The sequence below is a fragment of the Homo sapiens genome, chromosome X (assembly GCF_000001405.40).
Source record: "Homo sapiens chromosome X, GRCh38.p14 Primary Assembly".
NCBI classification, from domain to species: domain Eukaryota; kingdom Metazoa; phylum Chordata; class Mammalia; order Primates; family Hominidae; genus Homo; species Homo sapiens.
Genome location: NC_000023.11, coordinates 96,818,569 through 96,837,572, shown reverse-complemented (window position 1 = coordinate 96,837,572; position 19,004 = coordinate 96,818,569). Strand labels below are relative to the sequence as shown.

General features: G+C 35.8%; 1 protein-coding gene across 2 annotated transcripts in view, besides 2 other annotated features; it reads right to left on the bottom strand.

Moving 5' to 3' along the window:
- The window catches only part of DIAPH2 (diaphanous related formin 2), a 920,156-nt gene that overhangs the window by 767,425 nt on the left and 133,727 nt on the right, over positions 1–19,004 (bottom strand). The window lies entirely within an intron of this gene.
- Positions 1,370–1,489: an enhancer, noted in NCBI's record as "active region_29798". NCBI's record gives its function as "activates an Ori minimal core promoter by ATAC-STARR-seq in GM12878 lymphoblastoid cells {active_cell/tissue: GM12878}" and the evidence as "EXISTENCE:reporter gene assay evidence [ECO:0000049][PMID:35858748]".
- Positions 1,590–1,819: an enhancer, noted in NCBI's record as "active region_29797". NCBI's record gives its function as "activates an Ori minimal core promoter by ATAC-STARR-seq in GM12878 lymphoblastoid cells {active_cell/tissue: GM12878}" and the evidence as "EXISTENCE:reporter gene assay evidence [ECO:0000049][PMID:35858748]".

The window sequence follows — 19,004 nt, the reverse complement described above, 5'->3', positions numbered from 1 at the left end:
TGGAGCTGAATTGCTCAAAGAGTTGCTTTTTTTGATCAAACAAAAGGTTTCACTATCTCATCTTGTAGTTATTTCCTTGACTATGCTCTCTACTACTACTAGTACTACACACACACACACACACACACACACACACACAGAGAGAGAGAGAGAGAGAGAGAGAGAGAGGGAGGGAGGAAGGGAGGGAGGGAAGGAGGCAGACAGAGAGACAGAGAAAGAGAGAGAGAAAGCCACTTATCAGCGAGTTTATATCTTATTAGATGTAAACTCATTCATCCATGAAGCTCTTTATAAGGTTCCTTTGGGAACTGGTCATTACCTAATATGACTTATATTTCAGATTTTTATCCATATTTCACAAAATAAAACACCCTTACCTAATAATTAAATGATTTTTAAAAACTAATATCTAAAACACCAGTGTATATCTTTCCAGTGACACCACTTTACTTTGAAGCATGCAAGGAAAGGGATATTTTACACGTGAATTTTACTTCACCACTATTTTGGCTAGAATGTCTCTATTCCTTGTATTAAATATATACCTGCCGGGCGCGGTGGCTCACGCCTGTAATCCCAGCACTTTGGGAGGCTGAGGCGGGCGGATCACGAGGTCAGGAGATCGAGACCATCCTGGCTAACACGGTGAAACCCCGTCTCTACTAAAAATACAAAAAATTAGCCGGGCGTGGTAGCGGGCGCCTGTAGTCCCAGCTACTCGGGAGGCTGAGGCAGGAGAATGGCGTGAACCCGGGAGGCGGAGCTTGCAGTGAGCCGAGATCGCGCCACTGCACTCCAGCCTGGGCGACAGAGCGAGACTCCGTCTCAAAAAAAAAAAAAAAAAAAAAAAAAAAATATATATATATATATATATATATATATATATACCTGTACTGCTTTAAAATGAAATTAGTCAAGTCCCTAAGATTGGAAACTGAGAAAAATAGAGCCATCATGCAAAATACTATTTTGCAGCTTTTCTTTTTTCTATTCTGTAATGAGTATAATGAATCGGGCTAGGTCAGCCTGATTACTTAGCCTATCAGAGGAAGGAAGAATAGTTAGTCATTAATTATATTCATTAAATTATGCAAAATTCAAGACTGTTTTGCTAATAAAATAGAGTATAACTAGCTATATAATTATATGGAAATCAATATGCCTTTGAGTACAGTCATTTATCAAGAGAAAATTCATTCTATAACCAAACAGCATTTTATGAGTACCTTAAACTCTAGATAACAAAAGTTCTCTAAATCATTAGATTATATAATCCTATAAGGCAAAGACTTGGCCATAAATTCTTGCCTAGCCTTCAAGGCCCTTACCACCTCTGTGGTTAAGAGACTTAGGAGAAACGGTGGGAGGGGGATGAGGGGTAAATGACTAAAAATCACCACTAAAGAACTTACACATGTAACCAAACACCACCTGTTCTCCAAAAACCTATGTAAATTATGAAAAAAAAAAAATTCCATGCTTGGCTAGGCACAGTGACAGAGGCCAGAGGCAGGCAGATCACTTGAGCCCAGGAGTTTGAGAACAGCCTGGGCAACATGGGGAAACCCTGTCTCTACTAAAAATACAAAAAATTAGCCAGCTGTGGTGGCGTGCATCTATAGTTTCAGCTACTCGGGTGGCTGAGATGGGAGAATCACCTGAGTCCGGGAAGTTGAGGCTGCAGTGAGCCATGATCACATCACTGCACTCCAGTCTGGGCAACTGGAGTGAGACTCTGCCTCAAAAAACGTAAAAGAAAAAGATTAAAACTAGACTGGTGGTCAAGTGTGATACTTGGACATCACCCTCCCATGTACAACACAGAGAACTCATTTTTTGTAGTTAAACAGATAACTGCATTTGTACATAAATAGCATTCTTTGTGATAAAAGCAAATCTCTACTCAATTTTTAAAATCCTTTAAACATAAAATCTAAAACAAAATCTTATAAGAATATATTTCCAAGGCAATAAATGTTTACAATGTATAAAATATAGAAAGCTCCTCCTTCCGATTTGGCATTAGGCCTGACAGGGTAGGGAAAGGTGAAAGCTGATTACAAAATGCCCCTGACTCCTCTTTTGGAAAGGTCTTTAAAATCCCAAACAAGGATTTTCCATCCAACCCAAGAATATTTAGGTGCTTTTAATGCCCTCCTGGGGTCAGCCCAGGTAGCCATGGAAGAGGGGAGAGATCTCTTTTTCCTCTATTTGGAAGGAGGCACTGTGAGAATTAAATTAGTTCATGAACTAAAGGCACTTCAAAACAGTGTTCAGCAGGTAATAAGTATTCGATTAATGTGAAGCACCATTGTTATTGTTGTTGGTTTTGTTGTTATTCCCTTATTTGCTGAGGACATGCCCTGTGTTTGGATTGAGCCAGTTTCCTCACTGCCACTTTTTAAAATTCCGTTCTTGTTGGTCTTCTCCCAGGAAGATCCTTTAAAGTCCAATTTGACTATCCAATTAACCTCTCTCGGCAGGTCAAACAGTAAAATTTTAACTGAAATAAAGATATGTTACACTTTCTTTCTGTATTCTCCACACTTAATTGTAGTGTTGAGTAAATAACAAAAACTCAATAAATAACTGATCAACTAGTAGGCTTGTTTTTGTTTCTTTCCAGCATGCTTTATGACAGAGTATGCAATGAAAGTTGAGCACTCATGGCTCAACACTTTAAATTTTAGTTTCCATTAAGAATCATTGTTTTGCAAATACAATCAAAAGGTAAAGGCAATGTTTATAACTCCTTCCTTACAAAATACTCCTGAGCACATTTGCCAACATGTATTTATTTACATTGTTTGGCCCCGCTAACATTTTTTTTCTCATAAATCCCTTCCTTACAAGTTATCCTGTAAAATCTGACACTATATATGATATAGATTTACCAAATATGTCCTTTTCTCCTAATGTATCATACTATTAAAATTTAAACAAGGACTTCCATCTGTATTAAATATATAAAGAATCTGCAAGTTTGTATATTAGTTCCTATTTTTCACCATATTGTGTTAGTATCTAATTACCATATCTGGAATTTTCTTAAACTCACTGATTATACATGAGTAACTATTGAAGTGAAAAGCTTATAATTACTAGAAACTCAGGAAAGGGAGAATATGACACCTATTTCCAAATACTTCAAAATGTATCTCAAATTGTTTGGCAGGAATGCTACCTCACTAGCTGCTGCAGATTACCACCCGAGTCCAGTGTGGGTATCCCTGTTAGAAATGCTTGGGACCAGAACTGCTTCAGATGTCAGATTTTTTTGGATTCTGGAATATTTGCTTTATACCCACCAGTTGAGCATCACTAACCCAAAATTCCCAAATCAGAAATATTCTAATGAGTATTTCATTTTAGGTTTGGAGTATTGCAGATTTCAGATGTTTGGATTAGGCATAGTCAACCTTTATATGGTGAGTAGCATAGTCTAAATGCAGCTTATTTCAATAAATAATACTTATGTAGAAACATTCCTTGACATACTAGGTGTCTAGGAATGTTGAACAAATCCTGTTGTCTTAAATATGATCATGCAAGAATGTGAGATACAAAATATAGTGTTCTCATGGTGTATGTATATATGTTAATAAACCCCTGGCCGGGCGTGGTGGTGGCTCACACCTGTAATCCCAGCACTTTGGGAGAGCGAGGTGGGCAGATCACTTGAGATTAAGAGTTCGAGACTAGTGGACAACATGGTGAAGTCCTGTCTCTACTAAAAATACAAAATTTAGCCAGACATGGTGGTGTACACCTGTAGTCCCAGCTACTCGGGAGGCTGAGGCAAGAGAATCACTTGAACCCAGGAGGCAGAGGTTACCGTGAGCCGAGATTGAGCCACTGCACTCCAGCCTGGGTGATAGAGTGAGACTCAGTCCCAAAAAATAAAATAAAATAAAATAAACCCCTGAGAAAAGTCATGAGACTGAGTAAGTAAAAAGGCCTGTGAATCTATCTGATTTTTCTAGACTTGTCTTTATATAATGACGTAATGATTTTTTTAAATACCTGAATTTAATCCTTTAAAAATTCTGACCAGACTTAAAATAGGACTGTTTGCATTCCTATGTAAAATGTAAGCATTATGCAACTCATTTTAACAGAAGGCTGAGGAAAGGAATAAAAATACATATTTAAAATACACTAAATCATAATTTCCTACCTTAACTATAGTTTTAAATACACACTAATTAAAAATAAATATTTAATATCAATATTTAAAATATATTACAAAGAGCAATTAGGGATAATAGAAAATTTTGCTTCAAATTCTCTCACAGCATTTTCTGTATACAAATATCTTATACTACTTTGGAGATGATTCAATAAATGTTTAATTCCAAAATCCTTTCAATTTACCATTCCACATACTTTAGAGCTAAATCTGTGCCTCCATACAGAACTTCCATATTTGTGCCTCCCCTGTAAAAAGTAGGCATTTCCAAGGAATTTTAAAAAAAGTAAAAACAAGGGAGCTAATTAGGTGTACATATATCTAATTATGTTGTATGTATGTATGTGTGTGTTGGTGTCACACACACACTGGTGTCACTACAAATAACAAAAATCTAAAACAGAAGTGATTTTTATCTAAAATCAATACTTCTTCCATTGTTCGCAAATCATACACAAATATTCATATATATCTAAAAATAATTTGGCAAGCAGAGTTGGATAAAACATTATCTTATCATTTTCCCTTAAAATAATTTTATATCTTACTTTTAAAGTACTTTGAAAACTAAGAATTTCCAAGTTGGGAAAAGCCCTGGAATCATTGCCAACAGCAACTTTTATGAAATCATGGAAAAATGGAGACTTTCAGGGAACTTTCCCAGTCTTCTGCAATAGTTCAGAATCTTCAAATTTATCACTGATATCTATTCAGAAATATATTATCCTTAATATGTTTCTTCTATCCAAATACAAAATGATATAAAAATATTTTTGTGGTCTGCCCCTACTGTCTGGCACTTAACTACCCAGGAAACTTTGTTACTAGAAAGCTTGTAAATTTCTACCACACAATCCTCTCTACTAGATAGTTTATAAAGAACTTTAGTATTGCCACTGGTCTTTTAGGAGCCCCTCTCTGTACTTCTCTACCCAGAAAATAACCTATCTATTTCTGCCCCTTTTCTCTCATTGTGAATCAGTTTCCTTCTCTCAATATAAGCCATCCCATGTTTACTGAGTTGTAATAGTATTTGCAATAGCACTTTGTCAAAGTATATGTGAGAGGCAGTTGGGAGACAATTTTTTTTTTAGTTATGGAAGTAATATATGTCCACATTGAAAAATATATCAAATAGTACAAAAGGTTTAATGTAAAAAGTAAATATCCCATTTCCCAGAGCAGACCACTATTAGTTTTGCAGATTGTTCCATACATTTTTATAATATAAATCCAAGTACACACACATCTTTGAAAAATAGGCTCTCTTTATACCTACTCTTTTGTACCTTTTTTCTCAATTATTACATTCTCATTAATAATTGCTGTTCATCAACATTTCTGGTTCTCCTCCTTAGAAGGTCACAGTAGGATCGTACTTTCCTACTCCTTGAAGTTAGGTGTGGCTATGTGACTTATTTTGGCCAATGCAATGTGATAAGTGGAGGGTAGTGCTTCTAGATGGAAGCATCTAAAATGCCACTCTGAATATTCTACTTCCTTTCGCCATATGGTGGAGCCCAGGACACTAGTGAGGACAACATGAGACAGAGACCCTCACTGACACATAATAGATATGTAACATGAGCAAGAAATGAGTCTCTGTTGTTTAAAGACCCAGATTTTGAGGTTACCTTCACAGTCTATTTTCACTCACACTACATTTTGAAGAAAATTCATATCAGAACATACAGATCTACCTCATTCACTGAGATGGTTTCATAATATTCTTTTAAATGAATAAATGATAATTTAATTCAATTGATCTACAAGTATTTTATGAGTGTCTACCATGTCCTCAATAGTGCTGTGTTTTAAATGTTAAGTTCATTTTATTATCACAAATTTGTGAGGTAGGTTCTATTCTTAATCACAGTTGCACAGATTTTTTTTAAAAAGTGAAAGCACTAGAGATTAAGTTAGAATTGTCCCCAAGTGCCAACAGACTGTAAATGGCAGAGCCAAAATTTGAACCCAGCTATGGCTACAGAGTCAATGCTTTTAATTACCAAGTTATTCTGCCTTTCCATATTCTAGAGAAACAGATAATACGTAAACATAGAAGACAATATTAAATAGTAATAGCTACTATGATGACAATAAAACAGAGTACTATGATGGGAAATGGGAGCTACTTTGTAGTGGGAAGTTAGGAAAGGCTTCCTTGAGGAAATGATACTTAAGCTGAGACCTGAATGACAAGAAAAAAAAAGTCACGTAAAAAACCTAGGGAAAAGGCATCCCAAGAGGAAAGAATAGCTAGTACAAATGTCTTAAGGTGGAAAAGACTGGGTATGTCCCATAAAGAGATAGAAAGCTACTGTGGTTGGAGCACACTAAGCCAGGGGAAGAGTAACAGCAGATTTTACCAGTCTTTCACTGAGGGGCAATATTTCATCTGATATTCTTTTACATGTACCTTCACATATTTGTATAGGATTACGTGTAGGATACGTGCCAAGAACTGGAACTGCTGGGCCCAATTTTGGTAGATATCACGAAATGCCCCTCCAAAAAGATGACAAAAGAAAAAAACTGTGTCAATAGAAGGAAGAGCTTTCTTTCCATATTCTCTCTTATACCATTATCGAACATTTTAAAACTTTGTTAATTTGTTACTTTTTTTTTCAAATGTTATGTCATTGCTGATTTCATCTCCAATTATTTAATTCTGTTTGAAGTTAAATCCTTTTTCATGCATTTTATTGCTTATTTGTATTTCTGTAGCTATGAACTACCTTTTCAGGGGCTCTGCCACTTTTTTAATAGGGGTTTTCATTTGCTCATTTTTTTTTTTTTTTTTTTTTTTTTTTGAGACTGAGTCTCGCTCTGTCGCCCAGGCTAGAGTGCAGTGGCGTGATCTCGGCTCACTGCAAGCTCCGCCTCCTGGGTTCACGTCATTCTCCTGCCTCAGCCTCCCAAGTAGCTGGGACTACAGGCACCCGCCACCATGCCCGGCTAATTTTTTGTATTTTTAGTAGAGACGGGGTTTCACCATGTTAGCCAGGATGGTCTCGATCTCCTGACCTCGTGATCCACCCGCCTCGGCCTCCCAAAGTGCTGGGATTACAGGCGTGAGCCACCACGCCTGGCCCACTCATATTTATTTTGTAAAAAATCTTTGTATATTAAGATAATGAGCCCTTTGCCATATGTGTTGCAAATATATTTTTTAGCCTGTAATGTAATATTTAACTTTATGATCCTTTTATCAAATTAAATTTTGGATTGAATAACTGATCTTTACTGAATTCAAATGCCTCATCTATCATACAGTAAATTCCTGCATATATTATGGTCTACTATTTGACTCTGTTATAAACAAGAATAAACTATTTTAATCCTATAACTTTAACCTTTTTTTATATATATATTTGGTAGAACTAGTTCCCCTTCAGTGCACTTCCGTTCCAGTTTTTTCCTGGCTATTCCCAGATGTTTACTTCCAGATAAAAATACACATCATGTTGTCAATTTCTTAAAAAAAAAAAAGAAAAAGAAAAATTCTGTTGAAATTATATTGGTATGTCATTGACTCTCTCTTATTACTATACTAAATAGGACTTTTTATTCCATTATCAATCATTTAGGCCTGGCATGGTAGCTCCCGCCTATAATCCCAGCAATTTGAGAGGCCAAGGCAGGCGGATGGCCTGAGGTCAGGAGTTCGAGACCAGCCTGGCCAACATGGTGAAACCATGTCTTTACCAAAAATACAAAAAATTAGCCGGGCATCTTGGCAGGCGCCTGCAATCCCACTTATTCAGGAGGCTGAGACAGGAGATTCACTTGAACCCAGGAGGTGAAGGTTGCAGTGAGCCAAGATAGTGCCATTGTAATCTAGCCTGGGCGACAGAGCGAGACTCCATCTCAAAAACAAACAAACAAAAAAACCACACACACACAATCATTTGCCTTGTTTTATATATATATATATATATACATATATATATGTAAATGCTATTGATTTTTACATACTTTATCAGATAGTCACATAATGTGAAAAAATTACATATATCTTTCTAAATCTTTTTATTTCCTTCTCTCTCTTATTTAATTGCATTGGCAGATACACACTCCCCCTTCCTCTCTAAAAAATGGGGAAAAAAGCCTAAAAAATACTAGTGATTGTGAACATCCTAGTCTGGCTCTTCACATGGGAATTCTTCAAGTGTTTTAGCATTAAACAGAACAGTGCCATTTGGCTTGCAATATATAGTTTTATCAGACTAATACAATAGGGAGTGGGAGCTACTTCATGCAGGAAGTTAGGAAAGGTTTCTTTGACAAAGTGATACTTAAGCTGAGACCTGAATAACAAGAAAGAGCCAGTTAAGGAAATAAGTACTTGTCCTATTGTATTAATTTTATAATCGGAAAGCATGCTAAATTTTATCAAGGACTTTTTGACAATACATATTGAGATAATATGGGTTTTTTTTTCTTCTGTCAGTGGCATTTTAAAAGTATAAGTGGAATAATTTCATTTATCTATCCATTTATATTCCAAACAAAAATCTAAACATCATTTAGATACAATTTTCCCTGGCAACAATGTGCTGCCTTTCCATCAAATGATGCATATTTGTATAAATGTATATGGCTTGCTTACTTATTCACAGAAATCACATCGATTTGCCTGGTATTGAAAGGGGAGTAGAAAATTCTACAATGTAAAAATGAAATAAAAATTTTATAACATCCAACTTTCTAAACTCTTTTGTGAGACACTAGTATCCATGGATGATGATAAATGCTCTGAAATCACCTAAGATTTGGAAACAGTGAGTTCAATAAAGGTAATTAATTTTTCTACCATAGGACATTTCAGATAATTTAATATGTTAATGTGCATTGTGATTCTTCAAAGGGAGGGGACAGGTGTAGAGCATGCAAAATTTCCCAAAGTTATTTGGCCAAGACATCTTCCACATGCATATGTGACAAATAACATCACACTAGGCACTGGCATTGAAACACAGAAATTGTTGTCCAGCCAGTCTGTTTGCTCTCATTGCTGCTGATAACTAAGACTTCGGCCAAATCAAGAAGCCTCTCTCCAATAGGAGAGAATGAGCTGATCCATTAAGAGAAGAGGAGATGAGAAAATGACAAAATTCTAGTAATACAGGCCCATTCTCATCCCTGTCCCAGGCTTCACTGCTGTCCTTACTGGGTCCATATACACTGACCTCCGTGAGAAGAGCAGCAGCTCTCAAAATGTGGTCAAAGGATTCCAGGGTATTCCTGGGACCCTGTCAGAGGTGTATGTAAATTCAAAACTATTGTTGTAACAAGACTAAAAGTTACTTGAGGCTGGGCGCGGTGGCTCACGCCTGTAATCCCGGCACTTTAGGAGGCCGAGGTGGGTGGATCACCTGAGGTCAGGAGTTTGATACCAGCCTGGTCAACATAGTGAAACCTCGTGTCTATTAAAAACACAAAAAATTAGCCGGGCGAGGTAGTGGGCACCTGTAGTCCCAGCTGCAAGCCGAGATGGCGCCACTGCACACCAGCCTGGGCAGCAGAGTGAAACTCGGTCCAAAACAAAAAAAAGTTATTTGTCTGTTTCACTCCTGTGTTCTCACAAGTGTACAGTGGTGTTTTCCAGAGGCTTCATGACCTGGAATGGCATCATCACTCTGACGGCAAATGGACTGTTCTTATGTTTTACAATTTTCTCAGATTTAAATCAAATCAGAAAATAACAATAGATATGAACCACACAAAAAAGTTCCTCAGGGTCCTCAAAAATTTTAAGAGTGTAAATGGCCCCTAAGACCAAAAAGTTTGAAAGGCATTATAACTTATTGGTCTAAGTAAGGTTTGTCCCTGTAACACAATTGGTTTTGCTATCCTTTGAAAAGTAGCCTTCCAGATCTTTTGGGGTGCTAATGCTATTTTTAATCTAACATGCTCTCTTCACCTGGACTATGGTTTAATAGCTATATAATAGACATAATAATTTTTTCTTTGCAATAAACTCCTTAACTCTGCCAATTTGCTACTCAGAGAATCATTTTCCAGCCCTTGGTTTGCTTTTTCTCTTTAAATCTTTAGCTAATATCTTCCCCGTGTTTTGCAATAAGACATTCAGATCATTTCAAAGTGTTAGATAGATAACAGATAATATCAGAAGTATGCTTTAAACCTATGATCTAATCTAGGCTCAACTATTGATATGGAGTAACTGCTACTAAGTTTTCTAAGAATGTTTTGTTTTAATAGATCATTTCCTGCTTTATACCAATATTTAATCAAGAAAATGTGTTCAAGTACAAGAATGTGTTTCAAAAAATATTTTAAACTTAATACATATTTGTCACTTCATTAAAAATAATTGTGTTTCAAATGTTTAATAATTTCAACCAAATAATTTAAACATTAAATTTCACATAGTACATTTAAGTAATCTATAACTAGCAATATAGCTCTAGAACTAGATATATAACCTTGGGTAAGACCCTGCCCTTTCCCTCTTTAAAAAAAGAGTGTTGAGCCAGGTGCAATGGCATAAGCCTATAGTCCTAGCTACTTGGGAGGCTGAGATGGGAGGACCACTTGGGCCTAGGGGTTTAAGTCCAGCCTAGGCAACATAGCAAGATACCATCTCTAAAAAATAAAAATAAAATAAATTTTAAAAAATTTTAAGAGGGTTTTGGACTAAATGATCGATTCCAGCTCTAGCCTTCTCTGACTTTACAAATCAGGTGTGGTGTGTTCCTCACCATTTAGAAACATCAGCCTAGAGCTCCTCCCCAAGGCAAAGTGTACACATATTCAACTTACATGGTGGTATACAGTTTGACTCTCACAGATAACGTAAAAGGGTGGTAATTCACATATTGGTAACTGATAGTAAAGTGCATTTTTCTCTGATGTCCTAATTGTAATTATTATTTGCTTTATATAATTAAGGGTTTTTTAATGGCTTTAACCATTAAAACCACATTTCTTTTTTTTTTTAAAGACAGAGCCTTGTTCTGTCGCCCAGGCTAGAATGCAGTGGCGTGATCTCAGATCACTACCACCTCTGCCTCCTGGGTTCAAGCGATTCTCCTGCCTCAGCCTCCCAAGTAGCTGGGATTACACGTATGCACCACCACGCCTGGCTAATTTTTGTATTTTTAGTAGAAATGGGGTTTCACCATTTTGGCCAGGCTGGTCTCGAATTCCTGTCCTCGAGTGATCCACCCACCTCGGCCTCCCAAACTGCTGGGATTACAGGCGTGAGCCACCACACCCGGCCAAAATAACCATATTTTAAGCTCATTTTGTGTTAGGGGGACTTGGATTACAAAAATGCAGTGAAAGTATGAGCCAAATAGTGATATAAGAAAAAGGAATTCATGAAGAAATACTCTTTCTAGGAGTGTTTTATTTGAACACTGGACAAAATTAAAAGAATTATATTTTTTAAAAGTGGTAGAGAGGAGACTAAGCTTTATAAAAGTAATTCTGAAGGCATTCTGGAGGATGAGTTCAGAGATAGGATGTAGAGAAGATGAAGGTGAAGATTCAGGAAACTACTCAGGAACTGATAGATAAGGAGGAGTGGTTGACCCTGGAGAATAGAGTGAAGGAATGAGGGACAGGTTACCCAGATTTGTTTAACTGAGTGAATGATGATGTTAACAGTAATAAGGACTACATAGAAGGCAGATGAGGAGTGACTAGAGTAGGTAATAACGAAAACTTACAAAGTCCATATTAGATATAATAAGTGTAAAATGCCAGTGGAACATTCAAGTATAACTTAAAATAATCATTATTAAGGGATAGAGAATACAGAATGTTCTCATGTAACAAGGAAAAAAAGATTATTACAGCTATCTAGATTTTTGATAAACTGACTTACACAGCAAGAAATAGCTCTTGTTTCCAGTTTTGTGATTTAGCATAATTTCCTACACATATAAACAGGGCCAATAAAAAAACCTACTTAAAAATCTCCATGAAGATATACATAGTATCAACTTATAACTAACCATATTCTTTAGCAAAATAGTAAAAAAAAAAAAAAAAAAAAGAAAACACATGTAGTAATCAAACAATTTACATCAATATTTCAAGTTTTTCAAATTGAAATTTTTATCTGATTAAGGAAGTATTAGAAAAACATTAATACGGCCAGGCATGGTGGCTCATGCCTGTAATCACAGCACTTTGGGAGGCCGAGGCCAGTGGATCACTTGAGGTCAGCAGTTCAAGATCAGCCTGGCTAACACAGCAAAACCCCATATGTACTAAAAAAAAAAAAAAATACAAAAATTAGCCAGGCGTGGTGGCATGCGCCTGTAATCCCAGCTACTCGGGAGGCTGAGGCAGGAGAATCACTTGAACCTGGGAGTCGGAGGTTGCAAAGAGCTGAGATCACGCCAATGCACTCCAGCCTCAGGGACAGAGTGAGACTCTGTCTCAAAAAAGAAAAAAAAAAAAAGAAAGAAAAACATTAATACTGGTGAAGGAGGGAAAAGCTTATTTTAGTTACATATAAACAACCACTTACCAAGGGATTAAATGTCTCACCTTAAGAGATATAGCTAAGCAGAGCAATTGTCTTTGTTAGTGTATGCATTTGCTAATTTGCAGGATAGGTTTGTGATAGGTGATGTATGCTCACTTTAAACCCTTACATAAATAATTAGGGGATAAAATCATATGGTTCATAGACCTGATTGTTTACATATGCAAATCAAATGACATTTTCTTAAATAGCTCCTGAGATTGGTCTTTTGAGAAAATCAAAAACACTTTGAGGGGAAGCATCCCAATGAACATCTGTAGATAAATTGAACTAGCATATTTGTCCCTTACAACTATACATGATGTTATCATCTCTTTCTGAATATATTATCTAAAGCTGACATTGTAAAGCATTTATTTGTTTTTTTTTTTTAAGAGCTTAGTGTCATGAGCTTGGACAGTGGGACTCCTACTTGTAATACGAAGAGCAGACGGGAAGATGTAACCAACTACCAGACTTGTTTTTGTTTTACTCTTCACATCTGTACCAAAGCATTTCATTTCCAGTAAGTTGATAATTTAAGGACATACAATTTCCCCCATGTGTGCTCTTCAACTCTGAATGTCTGGTGCTCAGTTAAATTTCATCTGTTTGCAATTGTTTCCCTTACAAGGCGTTATTTTTAGCTTCCCAGCCCATTAAAAGAGCACAAAACCTGGCTACAAATCTATTTCTAAATGTTAACTCCCATTAAATTAATTATCACTATAGAATCTACAAATAAAAGACCCCTACAGATGTGGTGAAAATAAATTACTAATATGATGTCCTGTCTAAAGTTTAAGACCAGATGTGACTAGAATGATCAGAGTGTGGAGGGAAAGGTGAAGATATTTATATATCTATTTTCTTTCTTTATACATCTTTCTTTATATATATATTTCTTTATTTATATATATACCTTTATATTTCTTTATATATGTTTTCCTTTAATCAAATCAAGAGTATATAACATACTTGTCCTTTTGAATATCTAAAAGAAATGCTAACTAAAAGAATTGCTGTGGCTTACTTTGCCCCTTCCACCAAGAAAAAACAGAAAATATATTTCCATCTTTTATAAACATAATGGAATACAAATAGTTCCTGTTGCTAAACTCAAAGTTGGTAAACAAGGCAAAAATAGGGCTTATTAATTCTATCATTAATTGCAACACTGAGAGAATAAAGATAATATAATTGAACCCTTTCTCCTTTATCATTTTTTCCTTTTGCCTCATTTCACAACTAATACAAGTTCATTGTTAAAAATTTGGAAAACAGAGTTAATGCAAGAGAAGAAAATTTAAAAATCACCATAATTTCTCACATAGAGAGACGTACTGTTAATATATTTTATCACTTGGTCTAATCATTTTTCCCATGTGCAATATATTCTTAAAGAAAATTGGGGTCATACTATTGGCTGTACATATCTTTTACATTCTGCTTTATCATTTACTATATCATAAACATCTCCCATATAATTATATAGATTATTTAAATTATCATACAATTATTTTAAAATTCCTTTATTATTGGGCATTTATGCTCTAATTTTTCACAACTAGAAATAATTCTGAAGTGAATACTACAGATATATTTTTTATACATCTGCTTCATTAGGACAATTTTCTAGAAATGGAATTGCTAGGCATGAATATAAATATTTTCATTGCTTATGTTTCATTCTGCTAAACTGCCCTCCAGAAAGGTTGTACTATTCTACAAACCAACCATCATGAAATGAGAGTGCATGCTTCTCTGCACCCTCACATATCAGATCATTATTTTAGATCCTTTTTGTCTATTAAACTGCAGTATTCTTTTAATAGTCATTTCTTCTATTGCTAATTAGGCTGAATATATGCACAGCCATCCACATTCATACAAGCCCACTCATACATACCATATACACCATGCACATCATATATGTAACTTATATTTTATGAATACTATGTTCAATACCTTTGTTCATATTTCTATTAGGATACACATGTTTCATGTTGCTATATAAGAATACTCATAAAGTTATTAATCCATTATCAAAATTGTCTAAAATTGTTATAAAATCGGCATTTGCCCTTTAATAGTATATACTATGTTCTTGATTTATAAAAGTTCTTCATTTGTGTACAGTCAAAAATATATTCTTTTATCTTCTACTTTTGTTTTTATTTTCACAAAGCTGCTCTTATTTCAAGTAAATATTACCTATATTCAGGCCTAGTTTGTGTATGGTTTTATATTTATAACTCATTGTTCTGAAGCTTATTCTGGTAAATGGTATGATATAGGGAATCAATTTATCTTTTCCCCCCACTTTGTCTACTGCTCTAGTAACATTTTACTGATTTGAAATGTCTCTAATTTTTAAAATTCACCTATCTCTCCAGTTAAAAATTTTACAACGTATGCTTAAAGGCATCCAAACCTTTGAATTAATGCAATCACTTTCATTCAAACAATTCCAGGGCACAATGTATTCAAGTTTCTTTTAATTTCATGCACAATCCAACAGCAAGCCAGTGGGTACTAGGAAGGGAAGGAAGAAAGGAATACAGTATTCAGGGAACTAAATCCACTATTCCTGTGTTTTACTGTATCATGCCATAATAATTATTTTCATATTTTTATTGAGAGAAATTGATAATACAGAGAAGTAGAGTTTAATGTAAATTTGATGGTTTCTTGTGGCCAGAAGGTCTATAAGATTCTCATCTTTCATAGGACTTAACTGTACTTTATATTCTATATGTAATCTAAGAAAAAATAGTGCAGAAACTTTCAAAAAGTCAAGACAAAAAAAAAAATCCACAACCTGGCAGGTATGTCTTTAATGTTTTAGAAGCAGCCACAACAATGTATTCAGCAGGCAAATCTGAAGCAGACATATGGAATTTTGCCTGTTGTGAGCCTTGTATGTGGGAGCCTTATGCTACTATGTCTTGTGTATAAAAATGGATTATAGAGCTGTAGAAAAAGAGTTCAATGCATCTTTAAAGTGTTTCCAAAGTGAAAATAACTTTTAAAAGAGCTAAAAGTCAGATCCAGTACCAGTATAAGTGACAGAAAACTATCAGTTACATTCACTCTCTTACTTTCAAAGGCCATAAAAGTTATATAATAGAACCAAATAAATACTGCAGTCTTAAAATTATGGGAAGGTGACTGATATGAGATTTAAGACTGAAAAGCTGCATTTCAACCATAAAGTAACTTAAAAGAACAAAAAAAATTCATTATCAAAATTATAAATATTAGTATATTCTTTAGAGATTTCACTTTATTTCCAACTTTTTAAATAACCTCAAAAATGTTAAATGGTTGATTCAATCAATCACCAGTGAGACATGGGTGTGATCATCACTGACTGCATATCCATCTAGCAAACTAGAAAGTTCTGGACTCCTGCTTCCCAACCCCTTGGCTGAAGCTCTTTCACAGCTCTTTCCTTCTGTGTGCACATGTGCAAGGAAGTCAGAGACTGAAATCCAAAGTACAGCAAAAAGTCAATGGGTTCTGCTGCTTCACCAGGAGAAAAAAAAGAGTGAAGGAGAATATAAAACAAATAATGAAATGAAATGAAAGAATGGAACATTAGATTGCCTGTGTTTAAGTGAAGCCTAAACTATTGTGATTGACTTTTGGCTTATGAGCAGCTGGAAAGTACTCAGGACTGGCTACTCAGAAAGCATTTTACTTTAAAGACAAATAGTAGTTTTAGTTCAGTTAACATAAGTAAACAGCTCTACTTGATCTGGCCTCCCCCTCACTCTGTGATCGATTCTCCTATCACTTGGCGCTCATACTACTTCCTACCCAAACTGGCTTTCTTATTGTTTTGCCACCAGACCAAGTTCTTTCCAATATTAAAGGCTTTTAGTTTAACTGTTCCCTCAGCCTAGAAAGGTCTTCCTCCTGATCTTCATGTGGCTGGTTTCTTCATATCATTCAGGTTTCAGGTTACAAATCACTACATCAGGAAAGCCTTTTCTAAGTATCGCTATAAAGGGGTTAGTCTATCACTATCACATCTTTCCATTTTAATTCTTTTTATAGCACTTTCTCTCCACAGCACTCACTGTCTTGCTTCCTTAGTCAATTACTTGCTCTCATGGTTTCTACTCTTTACTGCAAGCTCCAAGGCAGGGAGTTTTGTTGTTTTGTTCATTGATCTATCTTCAGCATTCAGAACACTGTCATATACTAAGTGTTCAATAAGTTTAGCAAATATATATTTAACTGCTTTGCATTTTTGTTTTGAAAACCAATCAACTATAAATATTCCTGATTACTTCTAAGAACAGAGTAGGTCTCAGAGACTATGTCTTATTTTGACCATAAATCTGCTCTCCAAATATTTTAGGATCAACAAACTGTATTTCTTTTTTTCTTTTCTCTTTTTGAGACAGAGTCTCGCTCTGTCACCCAGGCTGGAGTACAGTGGCACAGTCTTGGCTCACTACAACCTCTGCCTCCCTAGCTCAAGCAATCCCCCCACCTCGGTCCCCCAAGTAGCTGGGACTACAGGCGTGCACCGCCATGCCCAAATAATTTCTGTATTTTCAGTAGAGATGGGATTTCGCCACATTGGCCAGGCTGGTCTCGAACTCCTGGCCTCAAATGATCCGCCTGCCTCGGCCTCCCAAACTGCTGAGATTACAGGTGTGAGCCATTGCACTCAGCCTAGGATCAACAAACTATATTTCTTATCAGCCTTTTCTCACTCATATTCTTGAATTCTTGAATACAATGAAAGTTGGACAAGAGTTCTTCCTCCTGCCTCCCAGTTCGATTTGGCCTATTTATCTCTCTTACTGCCACAGCAAATAAGGCCATGGAAATGAAATAACTTTCGGTGTACGTGGAGAGGAGATGCCAATAAGAGACAATCTTTTCTTTTAATGATCTCAAAAATTAAGAGTTTAATGAATTGGAATTTGAGCTTAATCTCAGTAAAATGTCAGTTCCTTGAGGGAGGGAATTTTTTTTGTCTTCTTGTCTTCTTGCTACATCTTCAGCACCCAGAAAAGTGCTCAGTGCATAGCAGGCATTCAACAAATATTTACTGAATGAATGAATAAATGAAAGAGTAAATGAATGAATATACAATAAGTTCCAAATACTGAATTAGAAACAAAGCTGCTTAGTCTCGTCTACTTCTAAAGCCTTATGGAGAAACACAGACTACAAATAGATTTTCTATTCCTACTTCTCAGGAATTCTGTATCATGTACTATTGATTATAAGATACCTGAGCAAGAAACAGCTTACAGACAATACAGAAAACTTAACCATTGATACTAGAAACACTTGTAATGGAAAAATGGCTCAACTATCAAATGCCCTGCAAAAATGGACAGCCAAGAATGTTGACCACTTATGATGAATTGTGAAAAAAGACTGTAATTCACTAATGTTCAGTTATACCTGATTTGCTCTTATGGAATTTGAAGTATTTTGCAAAACTATGAAAACAAATATCGAGAGAAAACAGGAATAGAAAAAAATATAAATCAGAATAGAATGAGATTAAAAAGAATGTTAGGACAAAGATTTAACTGTTTTCTGGTGCCCAAATAAAAGGAAATAAAAATATAATCAGTTACTTTTCAAAGAAGCAAAGGATTTTCTAACTTTTAGAACCAAATAAAAGGGCTCATAGGAGTTTTCATACAAAAAACACAATAACAGTGCACACTGTCCTCTACAACAAGGGTCCCCAACCCTTGGGCAACAGACCACTACTGTGGCTTGTTAGGAACCATACCTCACAGCAGGAGGTGAGCAGCGGGCCAATGAGCATTACTCTCTGAGCTCCACCTCCTGTCAGACCAGCATTAGATTCTCATAGGAGCATAAATCCTATTGTGAACTGCACATGCAAAGTATCTAGGTTGTGCACTCCTTATGAGAATCTAACTAATGCCTGATGATCTGAGGTGGAACAATTACATCCTGTAACGATCCCCACATCCCCGCACCCCGCCCGTCCCGTGGTAAAATTGTCTTCCACAAAATCGGCCACTGGTGCCAAAAAGTTGGGGGACCATTGCTATACAACATTGTTATATTGAAAGCAGCAACAGATTTTTTTTAAGACTAGTTTTGTAACATTATTCAGTTAATGTAAAATCACAAAAACAAATAACAAATCAGTAAATTCTTTGGGGGTAGGGATGTTAGGTGACAAAACGGATCCCAATATGTGTCTTTCTTATGGATATGTCCAATAAAAATAGTCGCTAGCCACTTGCAGCTACTGAGCACTTCAAATGTGGCTAATGTGACTGATGATCTGAATAA